Below are 10,479 nucleotides of genomic sequence, written 5' to 3'. Positions count from 1 at the left end.
TGCAAATATTTTCTTCCATGGTGTGGGTGGTCTTCTCACTTTCTTGAATGCCTTCTTTGCTGTGCAGAAGCTTTTTAATTTGATGTGATACCATTTGTCCATTTTTACTTGGGTACCTGTGCTTGTGAGATATTGCTTAATAAATCTTTGCCCAGACCAATGTCTTGTAGATTTTTCCCAATATTTTCTTTTAGAGTTTCATAGATTGAGGTTTTAGATTTAAGTTTTTTAATCTATTTAGATTTGATTTTGGTACATGGTGAGATATGGGGTCTAGTTTCATTCTTCTGCACATGGATATCCAGTTTTCCCAGTGCCATTTAATGAAGTGATCGTCCTTCCCCTTGCATATGTTCTTGGCACCTTTGTTGAAAATGAGTTGAGTGTGAATGTATGGATTTATTTTTAGTTTTTCTATTCTGTTCCATTGGTCTGTGCCAGTTTTTATGCCAGTACCATGCTGTTTTAGATACTATGGCTCTGTAGTATAATTTGAAGTCAGGTAATGTGATTCCTCCAGTTTTATTTATTTATTTATTTTTTCCTCAGGATAACTTTATCTGTTTGGGTCTTTGATGGTTCCATATATGTTTTAGATTTTTTTTCTGTTTCTGTGAATAATGTTATTGGTATTGTGACAGGAATTGTATTGACTCTACAGATTGCTTTGGGTAGTATAAATATTTTAACAATATTGATTCTTCTAATCAATTAAGAGAATATCTTTTCATTTTTTGTGTCTTCTTTAATTGCTTGCATTAATTTTTGTTGTTTTTATTGTACAAATATTTCACTCTTTTGGGTGAATTTATTCCTATATCTTATTTTATTTCTAGCTATTCTAAATGAAATTAATTTCTTGATTTCTTTTTCAGATTGTACATTGTTGACATATGGAAAAGCAACTATTCATGTAGGTTGATATTGTATTCTACAAATTTGCTGAATTTGATTATCAGCTCTAATAGGTTTTGGGTGGAATCTTAGGTTTCTCCAAAAAAATGATTATATCATCTGCAAAAAAGGATAATTTGAATTCATCCTTTCCTATTTGAATACCTTTTTTTTCTTTTCCTTGTCTAATTCCTCTATCTTGACTTTCAAAACTATGCTGAATTAACAGTGGTGAAAGTGAGTAACAGTGAACACCTTGTCTTGTTCTACATCTGATAGTTTATTTGTAAGACTTATGATAATCTAAAATTTAAAAACCTTAAAATCTAAAACCCTTAAGAGAACTTGCTGAAGTTACTATTTTTGATAGGTTCATCAGTCGGTCTTTCTACTCAAGAGAGGAGTGGTCTACACACCACACCTTCAGGCTTTCAGTTGTTCCCCATTCACTGCAATACTAGGTGTGGTCCATTGAATGCAATACTAGGTGTGGTACTATCATATGACTTTTATTGTGTTGAGGCGTGTTCCTTCTATACAATTTTTTGAGGGTTTTTTTATCATGAAGAGATGTTGAATTTTTATCTAATGCTTTCTCAGCATCAATTGAAATAATTATTTTTTGTCATTTATTCTGTTTTTTTTTTTTTTTCTTTTTGAGACAGAGTTCCAATCTGTCGTCCAGGCTTGACTGCAGTGGTGCTTTCTCAGCTCACTGCAACCTCCACTTCCTGAGTTCAAGTGATTCTCCTGCCTCAGCCTCCCTAGTAGCTGGGTAATTTTTGTATTTTTAGTAGAGATGGGTTTCACCATATTAGCCAGGCTGGTCTCGAACTTCTGACCTTAGATGATCCACCCACCTCAGCCTCCCCAAAGTTCTGGGATTATGGCCTTGCACCATTGTGCCCTGGCCTATTTATTCTGTTTATATTGAATATCACATTGATTGATTTGTGTACATTGAACCAACTTTGAATTTCTGGGATAAATCTCACTTGGTAATAATAAATGGCCTTTTTAATGTGTTACTGAATTCAGTTTGCTAGTAGTTAGTGATAATTTTTGCATCAATGTTCATCATACTGGGATTTATTTTTTATGTGTTATTATTATTTTTTGATGTGTCTTTGGTTTTAGTATCAGGGTAATAATGGCCTCATATAATAAATGTGAAAGTATTCACTCTTCGATTTTTTACAATACTTTGCGTAGGATTGATATTAGTGCTTTAAATGTTTACTAAAATTTAGTAGTAAGGCCATCAGTTTCAGGGGCTTTTTTTTTTTTTTTTTTTTTTTTTGCTGGGAGTCATTTTATTATGACTTGATCTCATTTCCTGTTATTGGTCTGATCAGTTTTGAATTTCTTCATGGTTCTATCTTGGTATGTTACAGGTGCATAGGAATTAATCCATTTCTTCTAGATTTTCCCAATTATTGGCATATAGGTGATCATAGTACCCTCTAATGATCGTTCATATTTCTGCAATATTGGTTATAGGGTCTCTTTATTGATCTCTGATTATATCTATTTTCTGGATATTCTCTCTTTTTCTTTATTATTATTATACTTTAAGTTTTAGGGTACATGTGCACAATGTGCAGATTAGTTACGTATGTATACGTGTGCCATGCTGGTGTGCTGCACCCATTAACTGGTCATTTAGCATTACATATATCTCCTAATGCTATCCCTCCCCCCTACCCCCACCTCACAACAGTCCCCAGAGTGTGATGTTCCCCTTCCCGTGTCCATGTGTTCTCATTGTTCAATTCCCACCTATGAGTGAGAATATGTGGTGTTTGGTTTTTTGTTCTTGCGATAGTTTAGTGAGAATGATGATTTCCAATTTCATCCATGTCCCTACAAAGGACATGAACTCATCTTTTTTATGGCTGCATAGTATTCCATGGTGTATATGTGCCACATTTTCTTAATCCAGTCTATCGTTGTTGGACATTTGGGTTGGTTCCAAGTCTTTGCTATTGTGAATAGTCCCACAATAAACATACGTGCACATGTGTCTTTATAGCAGCATGATTTATAGTCCTTTGGGTATATACCCAGGAATGGGATGGCTGGGTCAAATGGTATTTCTAGTTCTAGATCCCTGAGGAATCGCCACACTGACTTCCACAATGGTTGAACTAGTTTACAGTCCCACCAACAGTGTAAAAGTATTCCTATTTCTCCACATCCTCTCCAGCACCTGTTGTTTCCTGACTTTTTAATGATCGCCATTCTAACTGGTGTGAGATGGTATCTCATTGTGCTTTTGATTGGCATTTCTCTGATGGCCAGTGATGATGAGCATTTTTTCATGTGTTTTTTGTCTGCATAAATGTCTTCTTTTGAGAAGTGTCTGTTCATGTCCTTCGCCCACTTTTTGTTGGGGTTGTTTGTTTTTTTCTTGTAAATTTGTTTGAGTTCATTGTAGATTCTGGATATTAGCCCTTTGTCAGATGAGTAGGTTGTGAAAATTTTCTCCCATTTTGTAGGTTTCCTGTTCACTCTGATGGTAGTTTCTTTTGCTGTGCAGAAGCTCTTTAGTTTAATTAGATCCCATTTGTCAATTTTGTCTTTTGTTGCCATTGCTTTTGGTGTTTTAGACATGAAGTCCTTGCCCATGGCTATGTCCTGAATGGTAATGCGTAGGTTTTCTTCTAGGGTATTTACGGTTTTAGGTCTAACATTTACGTCTTTAATCCATCTTGAATTAATTTTTGTATAAGGTGTAAGGAAGGGATCCAGTTTCAGCTTTCTACATATGCTAGCCAGTTTTCCCAGCACCATTTATTAAATAGGGAATCCTTTCTCCATTGCTTTTTTTTCTCAGGTTTGTCAAAGATCAGATAGTTGTAGATATGCAGCGTTATTTCTGAGGTCTCTGTTCTGTTCCATTGTTCTATATCTCTGTTTTGGTAGCAGTACCATGCTGTTTTGGTTACTGTAGGCTTGTAGTGTAGTTTGAAGTCAGGTAGCGTGATGCCTCCAGCTTTGTTCTTTTGGCTTAGGATTGACTCAGTGATGCCGGCTCTTTTTTGGTTCCATATGAACTTTAAAGTAGTTTTTCCAATTCTGTGAAGAAAGTCATTGGTAGCTTGATGGGGATGGCATTGAATCTATAAATTACCTTGGGCAGTATGGCCATTTTCACTATATTGATTCTTCCTACCCATGAGCATGGAATGTTCTTCCATTTGTTTGTATCCTCTTTTATTTCCTTGAGCAGTGGTTTGTAGTTCTCCTTGAAGAGGTCCTTCACGTCCATTGTAAGTTGGATTCCTAGGTATTTTTTTCTCTTTGAAGCAATTGTAAATGGGAGTTCACTCATGATTTGGCTCTGTTTGTCTGTTATTGGTGTATAAAAATGCTTGTGATTTTTGTACATTGATTTTGTATCCTGAGACTTTGCTGAAGTTGCTTATCAGCTTAAGGAGATTTTGGGCTGAGACAGTGGGGTTTTCTAGATATACAATCATGTCATCTGCAAACAGGGACAATTTGACTTCCTCTTTTCCTAATTGAATACCCTTTATTTCCTTCTCCTGCCTGTTTGCCCTGGCCAGAACTTCCAACACTATGTTGAATAGGAGTGGTGAGAGAGGGCATCCCTGTCTTGTGCCAGTTTTCAAAGGGAATGCTTCCAGTTTTTGCCCATTCAGTATGATATTGGCTGTGGGTTTGTCATAGATAGCTCTTATTATTTTGAGATACGTCCCATCAGTACCTAATTTATTGAGAGTTTTTAGCATGAAGGGTTGTTGAATTTTGTCAAAGGCCTTTTCTGCATCTCTTGAGATAATCATGTGGTTTTTATCTTTGGTTCTGTTTATATGCTGGATTACATTTATTGATTTGCATATATTGAACCAGCCTTGCATCCCAGGGATGAAGTCCACTTGATCATGGTGGATAAGCTTTTTGATGTGCTGCTGGATTCGTTTTGCCAGTATTTTATTGAGGATTTTTACATCAATGTTCATCAAGGATATTGGTCTAACATTCTCTTTTTTGGTTGTGTCTCTGCCGGGCTTTGGTATCAGGATGATGCTGGCCTCATAAAATGAGTTAGGGAGGATTCCCTCTTTTTCTATTGATTGGAATAGTTTCAGAAGGAATGGTACCAGTTCCTCCTTGTACCTCTGGTAGAATTCGGCTGTGAATCCATCTGGTCCTGGACTCTTTTTTGTTGGTAAGCTATTGATTATTGCCACAATTTCAGAGCCTGTTGTTGGTCTATTCAGAGATTCAACTTCTTCCTGGTTTAGTCTTGGGAGGGTGTATGTGTCGAGGAATTTATCCATTTCTTCTAGATTTTCTAGTTTATTTGCATAGAGGTGTTTGTAGTATTCTCTGATGGTAGTTTGTATTTCTGTGGGATCAGTGGTGATATCCCCTTTATCATTTTTTATTGCGTCCCTTTGATTCTTCTCTCTTTTCTTCTTTATTAGTCTTGCTAGCAGTCTATCAATTTTGTTGATCCTTTCAAAAAACCAGCTCCTGGATTCATTAATTTTTTGAAGGGTTTTTTGTGTCTCTATTTCCTTCAGTTCTGCTCTGATTTTAGTTATTTCTTGCCTTCTGCTAGCTTTTGAATGTGTTTGCTCTTCCTTTTCTAGTTCTTTTAATTGTGATGTTAGGATGTCAATTTTAGATCTTTCCTGCTTTCTCTTGTGGGCATTTAGTGCGATAAATTTCCCTGTACACACTGCTTTGAATGTGTCCCAGAGATTCTGGTATGTTGTGTCTTTGTTCTCGTTGGTTTCAAAGAACATCTTTATTTCTGCCTTCATTTCATTATGTACCCAGTAGTCATTCAGGAGCAGGTTGTTCAGTTTCCATGTAGTTGAGGGGTTTTGAGTGAGTTTCTTAATCCTGAGTTCTAGTTTGATTGCACTGTGGTCTGCGAGACAGTTTGTTAAAATTTCTGTTCTTTTACATTTGCTGAGGAGAGCTTTACTTCCAACTATGTGGTCAATTTTGGAATAGGTGTGGTGTGGTGCTGAAAAAAATGTATATTCTGTTGATTTGGGGTGGAGAGTTCTGTAGATGTCTATTAAGTCCGGTTGGTGCAGAGCTGAGTTCAATTCCTGGGTATCCTTGTTAACTTTCTGTCTCGTTGATCTGTCTAATGTTGACAGTGGGGTGTTAAAGTCTCCCATTATTATTGTGTGGGAGTCTAAGTCTTTTTGTAGGTCACTCAGGACTTGCTTTATGAATCTGGGTGCTCCTGTATTGGGTGCATCTATATTTAGGATAGTTAGTTCTTCTTGTGAATCGATCCCTTTACCATTATGTAATGGCCTTCTTTGTCTCTTTTGATCTTTGTTGGTTTAAAGCCTGTTTTATTTTCCATTTTTTTTGTTTTCTATTTGCTTGGTAGATCTTCCTCCATCCTTTTATTTTGAGCCTATGTGTGTCTCTGCACATGAGATGGGTTTCCTGAATACAGCACACTAATGGGTCTTGACTCTTTATCTAGTTTGCCAGTCTGTGTCTTTTAATTGGAGCGTTTAGCCCATTTACATTTAAAGTTAATATTGTTATGTGTGAATTTGATCCTGTCATTATGAAGTTAGCTGGTTATTTTGCTCGTTAGTTGATGCAGTTTCTTCCTAGCCTCGATGGTCTTTACAATTTGGCATGATTTTGCAGTGGCTGGTACCGGTTGTTCCTTTCCATGTTTAGTGCTTCCTTCAGGAGCTCTTTTAGGGCAGGCCTGATGGTGACAAAATCTCTCAGCATTTGCTTGTCTGTAAAGGATTTTATTTCTCCTTCACTTATGAAGCTTAGTTTGGCTTGATACGAAATTCTGCATTGAAAATTCTTTTCTTTAAGAATGTTGAATATTGGCCCCCACTCTCTTCTGGCTTGTAGAGTTTCTGTCGAGAGATCCGCTGTTAGTCTGATGGGCTTCCCTTTGTGGGTAACCCAACCTTTCTCTCTGGCTGCCCTTAACATTTTTTCCTTCTTTTCAACTTTGGTGAGTCTGAAAATTATGTGTCTTGGAGTTGCTCTTCTCGAGGAGTATCTTTGTGGCATTCTCTGTATTTCCTGAATCTGAATGATGGCCTGCCTTGCTAGATTGGGGAAGTTCTCCTGGATAATGTCCTGCAGAGTGTTTTCCATCTTGGTTCCATTCTCCCCATCACTTTCAGGTACACCAATCAGATGGAGATTTGGTCTTTTCTCATAGTCCCATATTTCTTGGAGGCTTTGTTCGTTTCTTTTTATTCTTTTTTCTCTAAACTTCCCTTCTCGCTTCATTTCATACATTTCATCTTCCATCACTGATACCCTTTCTTCCAGTTGATCGCATCGGCTCCTGAGGCTTCTGCATTCTTCACGTAGTTCTCAAGCCTTGGCTTCCAGCTCCATCAGCTCCTTTAAGCACTTCTCTGTATTGGTTATTCTAGTTATACATTCGTCTAAATGTTTTTCAAAGTTTTCAACTTCTTTGCCTTTGGTTTGAATTTCCTCCTGTAGCTCGTAGTTTGATAGTCTGAAGCTTTCTTCTCTCAGCTCGTCAAAGTCATTCTCCGTCCAGCTTTGTTCCATTGCTGGTGAGGAACTGCGTTCCTTTGGAGGAGGAGAGGTGCTCTGTTTTTAGAGTTTCCAGTTTTTCTGCTCTGTTTTTTCCCCATCTTTGTGATTTTACCTACTTTTGGTCTTTGATGATGGTGATGTACAGATGGGTTTTTGATGTGGATGTCCTTTCTGTTTGTTAGTTTTCCTTCTAACAGACAGGACCCTCAGCTGCAGGTCTGTTGGAGTTTGCTAGAGGTCCAATCCAGACCCTGTTTACCTGGGTACCAGCAGCAGTGGCTGCAGAACAGCAGATTTTTGTGAACCGCGAATGCTGCTGTCTGATCGTTCCTCTGGAAGTTTTGTCTCAGAGGAGTACACGGCCGTGTGAGGTGTCAGTCTGCCCCTACTCGGGGGTGTTTCCCAGTTAGGCTGCTCGGGGGTCAGGGGTCAGGGACCCACTTGAGGAGGCAGTCTGCCCTTTCTCAGATCTCCAGCTGCATGCTGGGAGAGCCACTGCTCTCTTCAAAGCTGTCAGACAGGGACATTTCCTCTCTTTTTCTTAGTCTGTCTAAAAGTTTGTCAATCTTCCTTACTTTTCAAATAACAACCCTTTTGCATTATTGATTTTTGTATTGTTTTGTTTCAATTTCATTTATTTCTGCTCTGATCTTTATTATTTATTTTCTTCTACTAATTTTTTATTTGATTTGCTCTTGCTTTTCTGTTTCTTTAAGATGCACTGTTAGGTTGTTTATTTGTAGTTTTTCTACTTTTTCATGTTGGCTCTTATTATTATGAACTTTCCTCTTAATACTGCTTTTGCTGTATTCCATAGGTCTTGGTATGCATATTTCTATCTTCATTTGTTTTCAGAAATGTTTAAGTTTTATTTCAAATTTCTTCATTAATACATTGGCTATTCAGGAGCATATTATTTAAATTCATGTGTTTGTATCATTTCCAAACTTCTTCATATATTTAATTTCTAGTTTTATTGCACTGTGGTCAGAGAAAATACTTGATCTGATTGCACTTTGTTAGAATTTTTAAGGTTTGCTTTTTTGGCCTATCCTTGACAGTGATCCATGTGCTGAGGAAAAGAATATGTATTCTGCAGCCATTGGATGAAGTGTTCTGAAAAAAATCTGTTAGATCCATTTTGTCTATAGGGTAGATTAAGTGATATTTGTTAATATTCTGTCTGAATGATCTATCTAATATAGAAAGTAGGGTATTTAAGTCTCCAGTTATTATTGTGTTCGGATCTACCTCTGTCTTTAATAATATATTTTTTATATTTCTGGGTGCTCCAGTGTTTAGTATATATAGATTTACAATTGTTTTATTCTCTTGCTAAACTGACCCCTTTATTACTGTGTAATAATCTTCTTTGTCTCCTTTATAGTTTTTGTTCTGCATTCTATTTTGTCTGATATAAGTATAGTTACCCCCATCTTTTTTTATTTCAATTGACATAGAATATATTTTGGCATCTCTTTATTTTCAATCCATGTGTGTCTTTATAGGTAAAGTGTGATCATTTTATGCAACAGATCATTGGTACTTTTTATTCATTCAGCTACTCTTTGTCTTTTAAAAAATCTTTTTGGGTACATAATAGGTGTATATATTCATGGGGTACATGAGATATTTTGATATAGGCACACAATGCTTAATAATCACAATAGGGTAACTAGGCTATCCATCACTTTATTTATCTTTCCTTTGTGTTACAAATGATTCAATGAGCGTTTAGTCCATTTACCTTCAATGTTATTACTGGTAAGTAAGAACTTTCCACTGCTATTGTGTTATTTATTTTCTGGTTGTTTTGTGGTTTTCCATTCCTTCTTTTATTCCTACCCTTCATCATTCCCACTGAAGGTAATTTTCTCTGGCAGCATGTTTAAATTTCTTGTGTGTGTGTGTGTGTGTGTGTGTGTGTGTAGCTGTTATAGGTTTTTAAATTTTAGGTTACCATAGGCTTGCACATAACATCTTATAACTCATTATTTTAAATTTATTACAACTTAACACTAATTATAGAAACAAACAAATAAAGAGAAAACTAAAAACCTCTACACTCTAACTTCATTTCCCTACTTTTAAACTTTTTGTTGTTTCTATTCATTTCTTATTATACTATGTTTGAAATTTTGGTAGTAATTTTTGATGGGGTCCTCTTTTAGTCTTTCTACTCAGCATATGAGTAGTTTATACACCACAATAAGAGTTATCACATTCTGTGCTTTTCTGTGTACTTTCAATTACTAGTGAGTTTTCTACCTTCAGATGATTTCTTGCTCATTTAGGTCTGTTTCTTTCAGATTGAAGAATTCCCTTTAGCATACTAGTAGGACAGTTATGAGGTTGATGAAATCCCTTAGCTTTTGTTTCTCTCTGGGGATGTCTTTATTTCTCCTTCATGAATACAGGATATTTTTGCTCTAAATACTATTCTAGGATAAAAGTTCCTCTTTTATATCACTTTATGTATGTCTCCCTTGACCTGCAATTTTCCATTGAGAATTATGCTGCCATTTTGCCGCTCCATTGTATTATTTGTTTCTTTCCTTTTTCTACTTTCAGGAGACTTTCTTTACCCTTGCTTTTTGGGTGTTTGATTATTAAATTTCTTGAAGAAGTCTTATTTGGGCTAAATCTGCTTGGTGCTCTATAAACTTATTGTACTTAAATACTGTTCATATTTTTCTAGGTTTTGGGATTCTGTGTTACTATTCTTTTGAAAAAACTTTCTACCCCATTCTCTCTCTCTACCTCCTCCTAAGGCCAACAACTCTTAGATTTGCCTTTTGGAAGGCCATTTCAAGATCTTACAGATGTGCTTTACTCTTTTTTATTTTTTTTTCTTTTGTCTCCTCTGTCTGTGTATTTTCAAATAGTCTGTTTCAAGATCACTAATTTTTTCTTCTACTTGATCAGTTATGCTTGAGATACTCTGATACATTCTTTGGTATGTTAATTGAATGTATTAGCTAAACAATTCCTGCCAGATTTTTGAAAAATTATTTCAATCACTTTCATAAATTTATC

The 10,479-nt window shown here is 36.2% G+C and overlaps 1 annotated feature.

The window, feature by feature from the left end:
* Window positions 380–549: an enhancer, noted in NCBI's record as "experimental_66440 CRE fragment used in MPRA reporter constructs". NCBI's record gives its function as "activates a minimal promoter by MPRAs in K562 erythroleukemia cells, with activity observed for both the introgressed and non-introgressed 3:163155004 variant alleles {active_cell/tissue: K562}" and the evidence as "EXISTENCE:reporter gene assay evidence [ECO:0000049][PMID:34662402]".

Source organism: Homo sapiens, chromosome 3 (genome assembly GCF_000001405.40).
Source record: "Homo sapiens chromosome 3, GRCh38.p14 Primary Assembly".
NCBI classification, from domain to species: domain Eukaryota; kingdom Metazoa; phylum Chordata; class Mammalia; order Primates; family Hominidae; genus Homo; species Homo sapiens.
The sequence above is the reverse complement of the archived record's forward strand: the minus strand, read 5'-3'. Positions and strand labels throughout refer to the sequence as shown.